The sequence below is a fragment of the Homo sapiens genome, chromosome 11 (assembly GCF_000001405.40).
Source record: "Homo sapiens chromosome 11, GRCh38.p14 Primary Assembly".
Taxonomy (NCBI): domain Eukaryota; kingdom Metazoa; phylum Chordata; class Mammalia; order Primates; family Hominidae; genus Homo; species Homo sapiens.
Genome location: NC_000011.10, coordinates 76,781,911 through 76,798,260, shown reverse-complemented (window position 1 = coordinate 76,798,260; position 16,350 = coordinate 76,781,911). Strand labels below are relative to the sequence as shown.

At 55.3% G+C, this 16,350-nt stretch overlaps 1 protein-coding gene and 1 long non-coding RNA gene across 8 annotated transcripts, besides 7 other annotated features; one reads left to right on the top strand and one right to left on the bottom strand.

Annotated features, from left to right (window-relative positions):
- Positions 1-116: 116 nt before the first annotated feature.
- Positions 117-15,981, bottom strand: TSKU (tsukushi, small leucine rich proteoglycan). 6 transcript variants are annotated; one of them, NM_001258210.2, is made up of 2 exons: positions 15,828-15,981; positions 117-2,652 (listed from the first exon to the last, which is right to left on the bottom strand). In NM_001258210.2, exon 2 carries the CDS (start codon positions 2,642-2,644, stop codon positions 1,583-1,585), a length of 1,062 nt encoding a protein of 353 aa, NP_001245139.1. In that variant the 5' UTR covers positions 2,645-2,652; positions 15,828-15,981; the 3' UTR covers positions 117-1,582. The 6 variants fall into 6 exon arrangements, with proteins under 6 accessions (NP_001245139.1, XP_047282682.1, NP_056331.2 ...); XM_047426726.1 differs by lacking the exon at positions 15,828-15,981 and adding an exon at positions 13,976-14,905; NM_015516.4 differs by lacking the exon at positions 15,828-15,981 and adding an exon at positions 14,857-14,905.
- Positions 2,065-2,970: an enhancer, noted in NCBI's record as "H3K4me1 hESC enhancer chr11:76506335-76507240 (GRCh37/hg19 assembly coordinates)". NCBI's record gives its function as "activates a minimal SCP1, AML or CMV promoter by ChIP-STARR-seq in primed H9 embryonic stem cells {active_cell/tissue: H9 hESC(primed)}" and the evidence as "EXISTENCE:reporter gene assay evidence [ECO:0000049][PMID:30033119]".
- Positions 2,971-3,876: an enhancer, noted in NCBI's record as "H3K4me1 hESC enhancer chr11:76505429-76506334 (GRCh37/hg19 assembly coordinates)". NCBI's record gives its function as "activates a minimal SCP1, AML or CMV promoter by ChIP-STARR-seq in naive H9 embryonic stem cells {active_cell/tissue: H9 hESC(naive)}" and the evidence as "EXISTENCE:reporter gene assay evidence [ECO:0000049][PMID:30033119]".
- Positions 9,162-9,456: a silencer, noted in NCBI's record as "tiled region #10511; HepG2 Repressive DNase matched - State 5:Enh". NCBI's record gives its function as "represses a minimal TATA promoter and a strong SV40 promoter by Sharpr-MPRA in HepG2 cells {active_cell/tissue: HepG2}" and the evidence as "EXISTENCE:reporter gene assay evidence [ECO:0000049][PMID:27701403]".
- Positions 11,290-12,212: an enhancer, noted in NCBI's record as "H3K4me1 hESC enhancer chr11:76497093-76498015 (GRCh37/hg19 assembly coordinates)". NCBI's record gives its function as "activates a minimal SCP1, AML or CMV promoter by ChIP-STARR-seq in primed H9 embryonic stem cells {active_cell/tissue: H9 hESC(primed)}" and the evidence as "EXISTENCE:reporter gene assay evidence [ECO:0000049][PMID:30033119]".
- Positions 14,600-15,244: an enhancer, noted in NCBI's record as "H3K27ac hESC enhancer chr11:76494061-76494705 (GRCh37/hg19 assembly coordinates)". NCBI's record gives its function as "activates a minimal SCP1, AML or CMV promoter by ChIP-STARR-seq in naive H9 embryonic stem cells {active_cell/tissue: H9 hESC(naive)}" and the evidence as "EXISTENCE:reporter gene assay evidence [ECO:0000049][PMID:30033119]".
- Positions 14,959-15,048: a silencer, noted in NCBI's record as "silent region_3789". NCBI's record gives its function as "represses an Ori minimal core promoter by ATAC-STARR-seq in GM12878 lymphoblastoid cells {active_cell/tissue: GM12878}" and the evidence as "EXISTENCE:reporter gene assay evidence [ECO:0000049][PMID:35858748]".
- Positions 15,199-15,680, top strand: TSKU-AS1 (TSKU antisense RNA 1). 2 transcript variants are annotated; one of them, NR_120562.1, is made up of 2 exons: positions 15,199-15,258; positions 15,405-15,680. It is a non-coding gene; the product is annotated as a TSKU antisense RNA 1 (long non-coding RNA). The 2 variants fall into 2 exon arrangements; NR_120561.1 differs by having other exon boundaries at positions 15,199-15,270.
- Positions 15,479-15,668: an enhancer, noted in NCBI's record as "active region_5299". NCBI's record gives its function as "activates an Ori minimal core promoter by ATAC-STARR-seq in GM12878 lymphoblastoid cells {active_cell/tissue: GM12878}" and the evidence as "EXISTENCE:reporter gene assay evidence [ECO:0000049][PMID:35858748]".
- Positions 15,982-16,350: the final 369 nt, after the last annotated feature.

The following is a 16,350-nucleotide window of genomic DNA, read 5'->3' as shown; positions in this document are numbered from 1 at the left end:
TATCAGGCTTTTCAGGGAGAACAAGCTGCCCAGGGCAGGGCCTAACCTGATTCATCTTTGTGGCCCCAGAGCCCAGCCCAGGGATTGCCAGTGGACACTGGCTGAGTAAAGCAAAGAACTTTTTATAGTGTTTATTAAATCAAGGACCGGTTAGATAGATGATGGGCTAGGCAGGTGGGGGAAGACAGAGCTCACTGCCCTGTGGGGTCTCTGTGGGGCCAGCCCCTGATGCCCATGTGGCCACTGATGCCCAGCTTCCCCCAACACCCCAACACAGGCCCAGGACAATATTACAAAAGTGAACAAATGCAACCTTTTTCTGCTTTTACAAATGACATGTCTCCATCCCCGGCCAGCAGGGGTAGGGGAGGCCGGTTGAAAGTGACACTCCGTTAAAAAGGCAACAACTTTTATAAAATGAAGACTAAGGAAACAGCCCAGGGTTCGGAAGCTGAGATGCTACCCTGGGGGTAGAGCATAGACATGGGTCGGGCAGACCTTGTCTCCTTTCACGGCATTCCTGGGAGGGTAAGAAGGGCTGTCGTGCTCAGGGCCAGTGGGGACTGAATCCAGGAGGCCCCTTGGAGATCCCAGCCAGATGAGGCTCCAGAACTGCAGCAACTCCTTGGGGCAGCATCTAGAGGATGCTCAGGGGAAAATGGGTAGGTTTCCAGTCTGGATGCTGGGGGACCCCAACCCAGGGTGAGAAACTGGCTAGGCTGGAACCAATGTGCCCTAAGCTTCCAGAGGCTCCGAAGGGCAGAGTGACTTAGCCCATGCCGCACAGCTGGTCAGAGGCCCAGAGTCCCACTTGTGAGGCTCTTGCCTGTCCTGCTGCTGCTACTCCTGTGCTAATGGGGAACAGGCAAGGGCAGCAAGGGGAGCCCAGGCGGGGAGGGTGGGGCTTATTAGAGGAGACAAGAAAGTGCATTGGGTCCGGGCTGGGAGGCAGGAGGCTGTGCTCCAGTCATGCCACTGCCCGCAGGAACTTAGATTAGCCTTTTTCCTTCTCAAGGCCTCAGTTTCCCCATCTGTCACATGAGAAGGGTGGACTTGATTCTTTGCAATTCCTTCTACCATTAAGGTTCTAGGGAAATAGAAAAGGATGAAGCGGGCCTCATGGCCTCATGGCAAAGAAAGGGCTATGTTAGAAAAGAAACTCGCCCCTGAGTGACTGGGCCATGGGCCCAAGGGGACACTCAGCCCAGTGGACCTGAACTCTGCCCTGCAGCAGGGGGTCCCACCCACCCTCTGCCCATTGCGGGTCAGGCCGGCCCAGGCATGAGGGAAGGCACTTGGGGGATAAGTGGGGAAGGGAAGCAGGAGGGGACCCGAGTCTGGTTTGGCATCGAAGTCCCTCTGCTCATGGTTTGGGGAAGCAACGTAGACAAAGGGGTGAGACTTTGCTCCTAGGTGTGGCTCCCAGGTCCAAAGCCTCTCCTAGGCCCACAACTCCTGTGGTGACGCTGCCACATAGGCCTGCGGGCTCCCCACTGGTGTTGGCACATTGAACATAAGTTACTCGGGACCTGAGGCAGCCCAGGACAGCAGTCTGTTATGTGGCCCTGGGCCACACCATTTGTCACAAGATGGTGGGGCCCCTGGCAGCAGAATCCCGGGTGTCTACGCAGTGCAGGGCCACCTTGGGGCTGGAGCCAGGCCTCCGGGGGTAGGTGCCCTCCCGCACCAGGCGCCGGCACCGCACATCCTGGCCCACGCTGACGCTCTGCAGTGCCGGGAGGTGGAGGAGCAGCGCCTCAGGCAGGGGCACCAGGTTGGTGCCCGAAAGGTCCAGCTCCTGCAGGGAGCTCAGGCCTGAAAACACCTCAGCTCCTGCCCAGTTAAGCTTGGGGTTGCCCGACAGGTCCAGGACCTGCAGGCCCGGTAGCTCACGGAAGCCACTGGGCGCCAGCTCAGGGAGCCTCTGCAGGCTGGCCAGAGACAGGTGTGTAAGGCCTCCCAGCCCCGCGAAGGCACCCGGACCAATGACAGCTAGAGGGTTCCCATCCAGGCTCAGGTAGCGCAGGGGCAAGTCTCGGAGGTTGGGCACGGCATGGAGCCGGTTCCAGGCCAGGTTCAGGCTCTGAATGGTGGGCGCAGGCAGGCCGGCCCTCGTGGGGTGGGGCACGAGGCGGTGAATGAGGTTGTGGGAGAGGTCCACGTGTAGTGCCCGGCCCTGACTGTGCGTCGTGAAGGCAGACACTGAGACCTCCCGGAGCTGGTTGTGGCTAAGGTTCACGTCGCTCAGGGGTGAGCTGGTGAAGCTCTCGGCTGGCAGGGCTGTCAGGCCATTGTGGCTGAGGTCAAGCGACTCCAGGTAGCGAAGGCGGGAGAAGGCAGTGGGTGAGATGCTGGTGAGCAGGTTGTGGCTGAGATCCAGGCCAGCCAACGTCGTGTAGCCCGGCCCCGCCAACACCGACTCATTCACCATCTCCAGCCGGTTGGAGGACAGGTCCAAGTGGGCTGTGTCCAGAGGGATGGGCACCGGCATGATGTGGGGGCCCAGGCCGCTACAATCCACCCGAGTCAGGCTGAAGCTGTCGAAAAGGCCGAAGGTCTCCACCTCGCATTGGCACCCGGGGAAGCATGGCCGGGTTGTCTGGGCCCCACTCACGGCCAGCAGCAGCAGCAGGGGCCACGGCATGGTGGGGGCTAGAAAGAGAGCCACAGGTGAGGAATGAATGCACCAGATGGTCTAAAGCCACCACACAGGACATGAGCCCAGTCTAGACACTGTTGGAAGGTGTCACAGACCCCGACCTCCTGGAATGCTTCCTGGAACACTCCCCAGAGTTCCTAGTCCCAGTTCTTCTCTGGCCTCTGCCTCTCCATTTGTATGGTAAGGGGCGTGAGGCCAGGTGGTGAATTTTCAACTAGAAGCAGCAGATCCCTTTCTTAAACAAGAGCAGCAGATGAAGGCGGGCCTGGTCTGGCTGAAGTGAGGGGGACCTGAAGCCCTCGACTTCTGCCCACCATCCCTGCCTAGGGTGTTAGGAAACCCAGTTTGAAACCCACCAGACTAGACGGTTTCTCGGGCTGGCCTCTCCAGCTCTGATGGTCCAGAGTCCCTGGTTTGGTCTAGACCTCGGGCCCCGGGTGAGGGGCTCATCCACAGGGCTGAGGGTAGGGTGTGCCCAGGGTGCCCCACTCTCTGCTGAGCAAGTGTTACACGTCAGGCACTGTTCTGGCTGCCCCACAGCATGGTCGCATCTGACCCTCACAACCACCTTCCAAGGCAGAAAATTCTCTGTTTTACCAAAAGGGAACTGGGCCTTAGGTTAAGACGCTTTTGGACAGCCACACAGCAGAGTGGAGTGGCACTAGAGGGGACACTGACAGAGAAAGCACCTGTGGTCTGGCCGGGGCTGGCCTTCAAGACCAGGACTCCCTCCCTGCAATGGGGCCTGCAGTGACTGCCCCACCGCACCCATACTCCACCTGCCCTGTCCCCCTAGCCTGTCATCCAGGGGCAGGAACTTCCCTTCTCATTGGGCATCCTGGTGTCCAACGTGGGTGTCCAGATTCCCAGATGGGTTTTGGGGACACCTGTCCCAAGCCTCTTTCCCCCTTACTCTGTCCCTTGCCACCAGCAGATTAAGCTACTACACCTCTTTGGTTCTTCCTTTAACCTCGGGCAGGCAGTTAGGCTGCTTCCCCCATTATACAGATGAAGAAACAGAGGCTCAGAGAGGAATAGGGCCTTACCCCAAACTAGTAAAATGCAGGGCAGGAATGGGACCCAGGCCTGGTGTACTCCAATTACTATATTCATATGCGTTGCCTCCAGCAGGACTGGCAGAGTAGCTGGTGGAGAGGCAGGGTGCAGGAGGGGCTTTTCCCACTGACACATGCTGTGGCATGAGCCAGTGTCCCTCCTCAGATCTCAGTTCCCTCTGTACAATTACAGTGGTGGCTGCTACAGATGCCAGGTGCTACATACGTGTTGTCACATCTAATGGTCACACCACCCACTGCTGTTGGATTCAAAGCCTGTGTTCACGTCCACTGTAGCTCCTGGGATGGTGGTGCTCAGTGGTGCCAGCATGAGAAGGAGAGGGTTGGGCAGTGGGAGCTTCTAACTAGACCAATTGGATAGTCTGTCGTCACCCCGGCCCTGCACAGTGGCCCCTCAGCAGCCTGGGAGACAGAAGGCACTAAGCTTCCTTCTAGCCAGGCTCTTCATCTGGGTGGCCCTGCTCTGGGCCCCTGCCCTCCTGCCCATCCCTCCCTCTGGACTTCAGGAAGGAGGTGAGAGAGGGGGAGGAGATGGGCCAGGGACCTGCCCACCTTCCAGACTGGAAGGTGGGTGGGAGGGAGCAGCAGGATTGCATTACCAGCCCTGCATGAAACTTTAAAGGGCTAGCCACTTGATCTGCACTCTGGCTTTGCCCAGGGGCAGGGAAAAGTGGGACTCTTCTCCCCTGCCCCCCTCCCCATGTGGGACCCTCCTCTCCCACCCCTTTCTTTTGTAGAGGCCAATTTCAGGATTAAATCCAGCCCAGGTGCATCCTGGGCATGGTCCCAGCTGAGGCAGGACAGAGTGTTCCAATGTCTGGAACCAAAAGGAAAATATTAAGTTGCTTCAGGCCCCTTTTGTTCCCCTGGGCGAGCTCCTCACCGCAGGGCTCATTACCACCAAAGGCCCCACCTCCCCTGCTAAGCTGATCTGCTCATTCATACCCACCCTTCCTGGGGTTTAAACAAACAGCACAAAGGCCCTGAGATTACCCTTTGATTCCCAGAGGTGATTATACAAGGGGTCCGTGAAATGCCAAATGGCCTCATATGAGCTCCCACTTATGTAACCAGCAGCTCAAAATACGACCCAAATGCTATCCCGCCAGAGGGGACCTCTCGCTGCCCCTCTTTAAGCCTCAGCCTTGTCCTCTGCACTACAGGGTGGCAATTTCTGCCCTGCCCTCTTCACCTAAGTTGATTAACCCTTACTGCCAACTGTGAAGGGCTGTGCACAGGCACAGGGCAGTCATCACCCAGCAGCCAGAAGATACAGAACTGAGGCAATGGTAGTAACAGCCGATGTAAAGAGGCATCTGATGTAAAGGGGCAGGAGTTACCTAGGTAACTGTCTGCAGATGCTCCCAGGGCACTGAACTAGGTTCCTTGCTCAGCCCTGCACAGTAGACACCTCTCCCGGGGTTCCTGCTCTGTGCCGGGCCTATGCCCGGGGCTGGGCATTTGCAGTGGGAAGTGACGACAGTGACAGTCAGGGCCAGTCCTCACTCTCTGCTAGTGCTGGACACACATGCTTTCATTTAGTCCGCACAGTCACTCTGTGAGCCAGCAGTCTCATCCCCATTTTAGAGCAGAGAAACTGAGGATCGGAAAAGGAAGGTGGCTGACCATCTTTAGCAGGAGTGACTTGCTACACTGTGCAACTCTGGGAAGTTGTATTAGTCTGTTTTCATGCTGCTGATAAAGACATACCTAAGACTGGGCAATTTACAAAAGAAAGAGGTTTAATTGGACTTACAATTCCACGTGGCTGTGGAAGGTCTAACAATCATGGTGGAAGGCAAAAGGCACTTCTTACATGGCGGCGGCAAGAGAGAATGAGGAGGAAGCAAAAGCTGAAGCCCCTGATAAACCCATCAGATCTTGTGAGACTTATTCACTATCACGAGAATAGCTCGGGAAAGACTGGCCCCATGATTCAATTACCTCCCACTGGGTCCCTCCCACAACACATGGGAATACTGGGAGATACAATTCAAGTTGAGATTTGGGTGCGGGCACAGCTAAACCATATCATTCCACCCCTGGTCCCTCCCAAATCTCATGTTCTCACATTTCAAAACCAATCATGCCTTCCCAACAGTCCCCCAAAGTCTTAACTCATTTCAGTATTAACCCAAAAGTCCACAGTCCAATGTCTCATCTGAGACAAGTCCCTTCCACCTACGAGCCTGTAAAATCAAAAGCAAGTTAGTTACTTCCTAGATACAGTGGGGGTACAGGCATTGGGTAAATACAGCTGTTCCACATGGAAGAAATTAGCCAAAACAAAGGGGCTACAGGCCCCAGGCAAGTTCAAAATCCAGCAGGGCAGTCAAATCTTATTAAAGTTCCAAAATGATCTCCTTTGACTCCATGTCCCGCATATCTGAGTCATGCTGATGCAAGAGGTGGGTTCCCACAGTCTTGGGCAGCTCCACCCCCGTGGCTTTGCAGGGTGCAGCCTCCTTTCTGGCTGCTTTCACGGACTGGCGTTGAGTGTCTGCAGCTTTTCCAGGTGCACAGTGCAAGCTGTTAGTGGATCTGCCATTCTGCGGTCTAGAGGATGGTGCCCCTCTTCTCACAGCTCCACTAGGCGGTGCCCCAGTAGGGACTCTACTCCAACCCCACATTTCCTTTCTGCACTGCCCTAGCAGAGGTTCTCCATGAGGGTCCCACCCCTGCAGCAAACTTTTGCCTGGGCATCCAGGTGTTTCCATACATCTTCTGAAATCTAGGCAGAGGTTCCCAAACCTCAATTCTTGACTTCTGTGTACCCACAGGCTCAACACCACATGGAAGCTGCCAAGTGGTGTTGAGCTTTGGTTTGGGTTTTGTAAAATGAACAATTATCCCCTTCTGTGGATGCTCAGAGAGATTGGGTCACCTGCCCAAGGTCAGTGAATGATGGTGGTTCTGGAACCTGCGAAGTCTTGGGGCTTGCACCCTCTGAAGCCATGGCTGAGTTGTACCTTGGCCCCTTTTAGTCATGGCTGGAGTGTCTGGGACACAGGACACCAAGTCCCTAGGCTGCACACAGCATGGAGATCCTGGGCCTGGCCTGAGAAACCATTTTTTTCCTCCTACGCCTCCAGGCCTGTGATGAGAAGGGCTGCCTTGAAGAACTCTGACATGCCCTGGAGACATTTTCCCCATTGTCTTGGGAGTTAACATTCAGCTGCAAGTTATGCAAATTTCTGCAGCCGGCTTAAATGTCTCCTCAGAAAATGGCATTTTCTTTTCTTTTCTAATGCATTGTCAAGCTACAAATTTTCCAAACTTCTATGCTCTGCTTCCCTTATAAAACGGAATGCCTTTAACAGCACCCAGGTCACCTCTTGAATGCTTTCCTGCTTAGAAATTTCTTCTGCCAGATACCCTAAATCATTGCTCTCAAGTTCAAAGTTCCACAAATCTCTAGGGCAGGAGCAAATTGCTGCCATCTCTTTGCTAAAACATAACAACAGTCACCTTTGCTCCAGTTCCCAACAAGTTCCTCATTTCCATCTGAGACCACCTCAGCCTGTACTTTATTGTCCATATTGCCATCAGGATTTTGGGCAAAGCCATTCAATAAGTCTCTAGGAAGTTCCAAACTTTCCCACATTTTCCTGTCTTCTTCTGAACCCTCCAAACTGTTCCAACCTCTGCTTGTTACCCAGGTCCAAAGTTGCTTCCATGTTTTTGGGTATCTTTTCAGCAATGCCCCCACTCTACTGGTACCAATTTACTGTATTAGTCCTTTTTCATGCTGCTGATAAAGACAAACCTGAGACTGGGCAACATATAAAAGAAAGTGGCTTAATTGAACTTAACAATTCCACGTGGCCGGGGAAGGTCTCACAATCATGGCGGAGGGCAAAACGCACTTCTTACATGGCAGTGGCAAGATACAATGAGGAGGAAGCAAAAGCTTCCTGCATTCAATTACCTCCCACTGGGTCCCTCCCACAACACATGGGAATTCTGGGAGATACAATTCAAGTTCAGATTTGGGTGGGGCACAGCCAAACCATATCAGAAGTCATGGGGAGTTAAAATGGAGTTAACACTCCCTTCCTCAAGGAGTTGCCGCAAGGGCTAGAGATCGTTCGTGTGAAACACCCAGCACAGCACCAGGACGCTGACAAATGTGCAGCCAATGGTAGATGAAGCCCCCTGAGACACAGTCACCGACTACTTCCCTCCCCACACTCTGGGGCACTGACAGGGAGGTGACAGGGCAACTGTGCCTGGTGACAAGAGAAGTCCTGCAGGATGGTCAGGAGCCCTAGGTCTCAGTGCCTGCTCTGCCATGGACTGTCCTCATCTCATCTCTGAACAAGTCTCTTCCCCCTTCTGTGCCTCAGTTTCTCCAGCTTCACAGTAAGAGGTTCAGTTTAGATAATCCAACTCCAGAGTTTCAGGATTTTAAAGTTTAACAAAAGCATATCCTAAATTTCTACTAAGTATATACAAAGCACTGGGCTAGGCCAGGAGGGAGTGGGGGGCGGGGGGTGGGTGGTGATGGGATAGATACTAGGGTCCCTGTCCTCATGGGGCTTACAGACCAGCAATGAGAACAGAAGACCAACTTATAACAAGATCACTAACACCAGCTTTGGACCCAGGAGACTGGGGCTCTAGTCCCAGGTGTGCCACTATCTGTGTGACCTTCCCTGTTTTCTTTGGGCCTTGGTTTTCTTATCTGTGTAACAGTATTCACACTGCCTCCCTCTGGGACCCGTACTCTACCCCCAGGAAAAAGAGAAATGAAGACTGGTAGCCACCAAAGAAGGCTGAGGGAGAAAGGGATCTTTCAGTCAAGATTCAACATTTTTTTCCAAATCTTGACCTGCAGATACAAGATATCCACTGATTGACCAGATTATAAAACACAAGAACAGGAGGACAAGGGCTTAGAAACCACATCCATCTGTGATTTGGGGGATATACCGTAAGGCCTTCCAGTGCAGGGGCCATGAATCATGCATTGTTGGGCCCACAGGGCCAGGTCCACAGTGACTCTAAGTTTGCTGATGGCCTGCAAGGACAAAGAGTAAATGGTACGGCCCCAACAGGCTCCAGGCAGGTCTCCCCAGGTGACACCGCACACACTGCTATGAGACACCTCTAAAACAGCTTTGGCCACATCACTCTCCTTATCAGAAACCTCTTGGGTTCTGCTTTTTACCTACAGAAATCAAGTTCTCCCATGCACGAGGCACCTGTAAGTTGTCACCACCTTCTTCTCCCCTCCCACCTGTCCCCAGCCCCTCATCTGGATTTGAACCCTCCTTGACAGCCAAAGTGGGAACAGCCTTCCCTTGATGGACTTTGAACAACTCTCAGCCTCTGCTAATACATCTCCAAACTTGGAGAATTCCAGGGCTTGGGAGCTGGAAGGCCCCTTGGGGATCATGGGCAACTGGGGCCCAGAGAGGGGCAGTGACAGCAAGGAATGGCAGAGCAGGGCCCAGGACCTGGGACCTGATGCCTCATGTGACTGCCAGAACTGCATGCATCCATCCCGCCTGCCCCTGGCCTGCTCCCAGCAAAACAAAGCCTGTTCTGTCCACTCAGGCCCTCGGGCCACCCCTCCCTCCTGGCCTCTCACCCCACAGGCTACCCACAGGCCTCCTTCAGTAAATTCTCTGCCGTGAGTTACCTGCTGTTTTCCTACTTGATGTGTAAGCAGCTTGGGGCGGTGCCCTGCCTACTTTACCTGTGTGTTCTTTCCCCCACCTGGGATCAGAGCCAGGCCTAGAGGGTGTGTGGAGGAAGAGCAGGATGAACGGGTCAACCGCAAGACCCAGACCAGGTGTGAACCTAGCTCTGTACCTACCAGCCTTGGGTAAGTCTTGGGACCCGCTCCGAGGGTCCTCAACAGGGCTAAGAACACAGGTTTGTTGAAAGGATTAAATGACAGAATGGCAGGCATTCCACTCACTATCTGCTACACAAATACTCAATGTGTGGTAGACAATGACGGTGATTTGCTAAGCCTTCTGAAGGCAGTCACCATGTGATCCTTCATGTTCCTCCCCACCCAAGTTCCCAGTGTGGCGCCAGGAGCACAGCAGGTCCGAGACTGGCTGTGATGACATTCTTCAGTCACTTCCCTGGTGTCTGCTGATAAGGACAGCTCTCTGGGTGTTGGGTTCCAGCTTGAACCTACCTGGCCCCAGCTGCCTGACCCTGGTGCTGCACTACAGCATCTCTGGTCTGTAAAGTTTTCCAGCTCCCCCCACCGCCCTCGACAACTTCCACAGGGCACTGTTGGCACAGGGCCCCACTGGTACAGGGCCCCAGCACCCCCGAGACCGGCCTTTGTCTCGATCAGCTGTTCCTCAACACAGAGCTGCCTCCCACCCTGCTCCCCTCAGTCATGAGTTCACTCAAGCTGATGCCGAGGAAATCCCCAGGTGGATGGTTCAGAAACGTCCTGCCCTCCAACCACTTTGTCAGCTCTGGAAACGCAAGGCAGAAAGAATTTCAAGGCCAGACTCCCGGAGCCCTGAGGGCCAGCTCTTGCAACAGACCCACCAATGCAGCACATCTGGACAAACACAGCAGCCCACCATGTGCTCTCCACCAGCATCTCACTTCTGCCTCACCAGAGCCTTGACCCTGGGGATACTGTCCCTATTTTGCAGACACAGAAATGGATGTTACTCAGCTGGGAAGGAGAGGACCCCGGACTTAACCCCAGATGTCTTAGCTCCAAATCCACTCTGCCTCAGCTTACAAATGAGCACATGTGCTTAGACCTGGTCATGCTGAACTGTACTTACATGTTTAACTGTCTATCCTACTGTGGGCAGGGATGCGATTAGGTTCCTTTTTATGCCCTTGAAGCTGAGCACTGAGCCTGGTACAGAGCAGACACCACGTGAAGATGCACCAAGCATCTAGAATACCGCTACCTCACCAAAGGACACCTCTCAACCTCTCCCATGCTTCCTCAACTACCATCTGTTCAGTCACCCTGCAGGATCAGCAGGTTAGATGGCGTCATATCTACTTTACAGCTGTGTTAAGAAGTCCAGAGAGGTTCTGTGATCTGTCCAGAGTCACACAGCCAGAGAGGACAGGGGCTGGACCCAGGACCCAGGTATTCTGACATCCAGTACCTGGCCTCCTCCATGACATGATCGCAGGGACCTGTAAGCCTAGCAACTTACCCAAGGAGGATAATCTACAGGGAGATGGGCAAGGCTCCCAGTAAGATTTTCTCCTTTCAATATGTCTTCTTCTTGAAGATTTTCAAGTTCCCATCAACCTGAGGCAGCGTACATGGACACATGAGGAGGCGCTATGGGGCAGAGGGCAAGGGTTTTGTAGCCAGGCAGTCTGGGTTCCAACCCAACAGGGCCTTCACTGCTCTGAGGCTTGCTCGTGCCCTCACCCCTCTGAGTCCTCGTCTGTAATATGGTGATAATCCCAGTGCTGGTCCTAACGGGTCACTGTGATGATTACATGAGGCAAAGTGAAGACCCAGACCTGGCCTGGCACATGTTGGTATTCACTGAATGTTGGTTCCTGTCCCCAGTGAGTGATTTCAGGGACCAGGGAAGAAAAAGGTGCTGTGACACCAGCAAATCCTGAGGGAAGGCAGGGGCTGAAGATGGAGAAGAATCCACAATTCATCCCAGAGGCCTTGGATCCTCTCTCCACATACCATCCAGGATCCCAGTGTGGCTACAAGATGCTGACAAGGCACTCCCAGGAGACTGGGAAGGGTGAGCTGGAAAGGTCTCAGAGACCAAAGCAGGCAAAAGCTGCTGTGTTGCCTGTGACAGAATGAGGGCTCAGCATCAAATTCGCAGATCCCCCTGGGCAGTTGGGGTCACTGTCTTCCCTTTCCCTCATCCCTAAGCTGGGCAGTCACCTCCCCCTGTCCAGGTCAGGCTCAAGAGACCTGCTGCAACAGCCTCGCTCCTGGCCTGACTCCAACTGCCAGCCATGCTGGCACCAGAACGCACTTCCCAACAGAAGTCTGGGACCCTACTACAGCTCCCTCTTTAAAACCCATCCCACAGAGACAGCTTTCTAGTCTAGAGGCCTGTGACTCTTCTAGAGCCACCTGCCTTTTTGCACACGTTGTTCCCTCTGATGCAAAGATACCCTTCTTTGTCTACCAGCAAACTCTCACACATTTCATTCAAAAAGCCACCTCCTCTGTGAGGCTTTCCCAGTCTAACCTGCCGCTCATCCAGGAAAGGCCACCCATCCTGTGAGCGCCCATGGCCCTTGGGCTGCCCCCGACAAGGTACTGGCCCACTTCTGTGGCCATCTACGAATCTGTGTCTACCTCCTTGCCTGCACGAGCCTGGCCACATGAAGGTGATAAATCAGATGAATGAAATGTCATGGACAGAAAGCTCCCTTCTGCTTTGTGGGGAACATAACAATTGGTGCAACCCTGCAGGATGCTTAGGGCTCTGCCCGCTGGTGAGATCAGGTTTAGGACCAGAGTCAATGCTGTCTCTGCCTTCTATTGTCAGTGCAATCCAATGAATGTCTGCACAATGTAATACACACTACAAACCACTTTTTATTTATTTGCACATGTAATTCATTATCTTATTTAATACACCAAATCAGTGGAGCAAGAATTAGTATCCTCACATTTTAAATAAGTTACTTGTCCCAGGCCACAGAGGTAGGAAGCAATGGGGTGGGAGTAAAATCTGGGTCCCTTTGACTCTAAGAGGCTGGATCACTCGCCCTCCAGATTGGTCTCTCGGCCTCCAGCACCACCCACAAGCCAGAGACGGGTTTCATAGAATTACCAACCGCACCCTGCTGTGCCTGTTTAAATCCTCCAGGAGCTCTCCATTGCCTACAGGCTCAAATCCCCCTTCTCGGCCTGACATTCAAGGCCTTGGTGATTTGGTCCCTGCCTTCCCAGCCTCAAGTTCACTTCCAATTCACCACCCTCAAGACCTTGCGTCTGCTGGTCCACCATGCTGACCACCTGTGCTGTTTTCATGCACAGGTCCTGCACATGCTGATCCTTTTGTGGGAGATTCTTCCTGCCTCCCCTGTGTACCCACTGACTTCAAAACCATGAGCAGGAGGAATCTCCTGTCAGGCCCCTTCTCCGGGTTATTCCCACAGAACCCCTCTTAGGACTTGTTTTGGCCAGGTGGCTTTCAGGGAGGACCCAACCCTCTTTAGGAAGTGTCCTCAGTGCCCAGGCCAGCCTTGCTCTGAAAACTGAAGCATGAACTCTTAACTGCATCCCCTGTGTTGACCCAGGAGTTATGATTAAGAAGAAGACTGATCTGGACTTTACCACCACAAACTGTCATTTAAAAAGTAAGAGGAGAAAAGGTCAATCCCCCTCCCTTCCCTCTCCATTTTTGACTCATTTATCAGCTTTTGCCTTTCCTGGTGTTGGAGGAAGGGTAGGTGGAAGCCCGGTGGCGGTTGCATTGCAGCCTTCCTGGGGAGCAAAGTAGTGCCTCGGAATAGGTCAGGTCAGAATGGAGGTGTAGGTTAAACATCAAAGTGTTTCTGGGTTCTGGGATCTGAAGCAGTCAGCCAGAACAGAAGAGGCTATCAATACCTCCCCTTCCAGAAGGGAAACTGAGGCCGGAGAGGGAAAGGAAAATGCCCACAGTTGTTTCTTTCCCAGGTTAGCGGCCTGTGCCCTTCCATCATGTCTGCAGCATCCGACAAAGTTCTAGGTTAAAGACTGGAGTGAGCAGTGGGGAGGAGGGTGTTTACGGTTATCTTTGCGACTTAGGCTCAAAAGCCCAGCAGGCTCCTGCAGCTCTGAGCACCCCCCCCCCCCCACCTCCGGTCAGCCCCAGGCACTGCAAGTCTAGACTTATCCGAAGGGCAGGGCGCACAAAGATGAAAGAAGAATCGAAGGTCTTGAGTCACCTCCTCGCCAGGCCAAGTGTGGGCTGGCGCTGCTCTCCGCCCGGCTCCAGAGGCGCGGGTTATTCCCACCGCACGCCCCGAGCCGCGAGGGAGTTCTCGCCCTGTCCGTGCCAGAGTGACCGCGACTCCGCGAAGCTGAGCAACTTGCCAGCGCCGCACAGGGGCCAGTGGCCGTCCCAGTTGAAACCTGTGTATGTGAGGCTCCCACGGCCCCCAGCCCAGCTCCGGGTCCTGTGAGCCGGCGCCTCGGGCATGCCCAGATCTGGACTGGCAGTCCCCCTCTCCCCTACCGGGTCCGAGGGTTGGCCCCCTACCCCGGGGGCGGGCTGCAAACGGAGAGTGGGTCTCAAAGCGGAGCCTGTCTCCCTACCAAACAGACGCAACTCTGGATCACACTCTTTCCAAGAAGCGCGGGGAGGGCAACGCCAGCCGCCCTGTCCCTTCCTCTCCCCAGCCCAGGGCCGGAGCCTGGGACCCACCGCTCGCCTCTTCCTCCCAGCCGGGGTCTGAGGGGGAGTCCGCACGCTCCGCCCAGCCCCTGCCCAGCCAGTCCCCAGGCGCTGCCGATCCCCCGACCACCAATCCCGTCGCAGCCCCTTGCTGTCCTGGGACCTCAGGAGGGGGAGGGGGAGGGCTGTCTGCGCCCCCGGCCGGGTAGCGGTGGGGAGGACTGGGGCTGTTGCCCGAGGAACCGGGAGAAAAGTTTGGAGCCAAGTCGTGGGCCCGAGGGGACGGCGGGGGAGCGGGGGGGTGGGGCGGCGTTGGGCTCTCGGTGCGCACACCCTCTGCGGACACCCAGCCCAGACACGTCGGCAGGCACCGACCACGTACGCGGAGACACGCGATGCGCCCACCGACGCCCACAGCCAAGCGCAGGCCCGCAAACGTGGACACGGGCGCAAAGCAGCCGCGCAAAGCCACGGACACACAAAGGCACCGACAGCGGCGCGTCCCCGACCGCAAATCCACAAAGACCCACAAACGTGAGATGCACGTGTCCGCACAAAGACCCACACGGCCCCTGGGCGTAGCCTTTGTCTCCCGCAAGACCTCTCCCCTGGGTCGGCGTTCCCCACTCCCGCCCAGCCCTAGGCGTCCGACGAAAGTTGAGGGGCCTCGGCGGGACCCAGCCCCGCCCCTGCGCCCGGCGTCCCCAGCCCGCCCTCCGAAGGGGCCGCGAGGCTAGGATCGGGGACTTGGGATCTTCAACCGCAGCGCGGACTCTCGCCCCGCCCGGGGAACTGCACTCACCTGGAAGCCTGCGCCACAGCCGCCTCGGCACGCTCACCCCGGCGGCCCGGCCGCGGGCCCTCCGGCCAGCGCTTTTCTCCGCGCGGCGCGGCCCGCCCCCCGGTCCCCGCCCGCAGCCAGGCTCCCCCCTGCCGGGCGCCGGGTGGCGGCTCGGGCCGGCCGCGGGGCGGCTCAGGGAGTGTCGCCAAAGTGCCAGCCTCTCTCGGCGCGCGCCCCGCCCGCGGAGCCTGAGCCGAGCCCGGGTTCCACTCTAGGGAGCGTCTCAAAAGTGCGCTGCTCCCGCCCCCTCTAGTTGGCCTCGCTCACAGCTTCCTGCATCCCGGATCCCTGCCCCCTCCCCCTGCGCGCCCCAGCAATCTAAGCAGATGGCCGCACTGTCGGGAACATCTGGAGGTCGCCGGAGTACGTGCCTGTGTATGTGTATGTGTGTGTATGACTGTGTGTGTGGAAAGAGAGAGGGAATTAGTTGCTAGTAAGAAAGAGATTTGGTGGGTGGGTGAGGGCTTCCTCTTTGCTTGTTCACCGCCCCTCCCCATTTTTTTTTAAAGAGTGAAAGAGGTTCAGGGACTACCGGGAGCAAGAAACCAAGAATCTGAAGCAGAGAAAGACTGGCTGAAAGACGAACCCACAGAGAAGAGAGAGCCCGGCTCGGGCAGAAAAGCTGGCAGGAGAGGAGAGAGAAAGTCAACAGATTGAGTTTTTCTTTTAGGAGGAAACCATTGGCTTCTGGTTAGAGTTCTAAGAAGGGAAACTGGCGTGTGAGTAGGCAGCAGTTTCAGTCTATTCCCCCTGCTGTAGCTCTTGGGCTCTCACCCCTCTTTATGTTAAAAAAAAAAAAAAAGGGCAGGAAAGCATCCAAGACACTTTAAAATGAGGGTTTGCAGGAGAAATGACCTGGTGGACGCATTTCCTAGGAGGGGAGAGTCAGGTGTGTGGGTGGCTCCCAGTCTACACACCCCGACAATGCCTACCTTGGGAGAGGGGCAGTTCACAGGTGGGAGAGTTGATAGAGGCTTTGGTCTTGGGCCCTGGACCTCCCAGGAGCTTCTCCTAGACTTTGGAGGGCCTCGGGGTGCAGAAATTGGGCAATGTACCTCCTGCAGTGGCCCAGACTTGTTAACACACCCAGTCTGCTTGCTGCTTCTTTCCTTATTACTTTTTCTTATTCATTAAAAAAAAAAAAAAAAAAAGGAGTTGCTTGGGCCTGTGTGTGCATGCATGCCGGTCTACTTGGGGAAGAAGGAAGACACTAGAGAGGTGGTGAGGTAGGAGTGGAGACCACTGCCCCAGGCCTCAGGCCAGCAAAATCATCTGCTGCCCAGAAAACAAACTGGTCTTGCAGGTCCTTTCTGCACTCAGAGCCATTGTGTGGTCTTGGGGATGCACTTGGGTTGACACCTGTGGACCCTGCCAGTTAGGAATGTGCAGAGAAAAGGCTAGGAGCCTGGTCTCATATGTGTGGAAGCAGGGAGAACTCCCGTCTCTCCTCTCCAT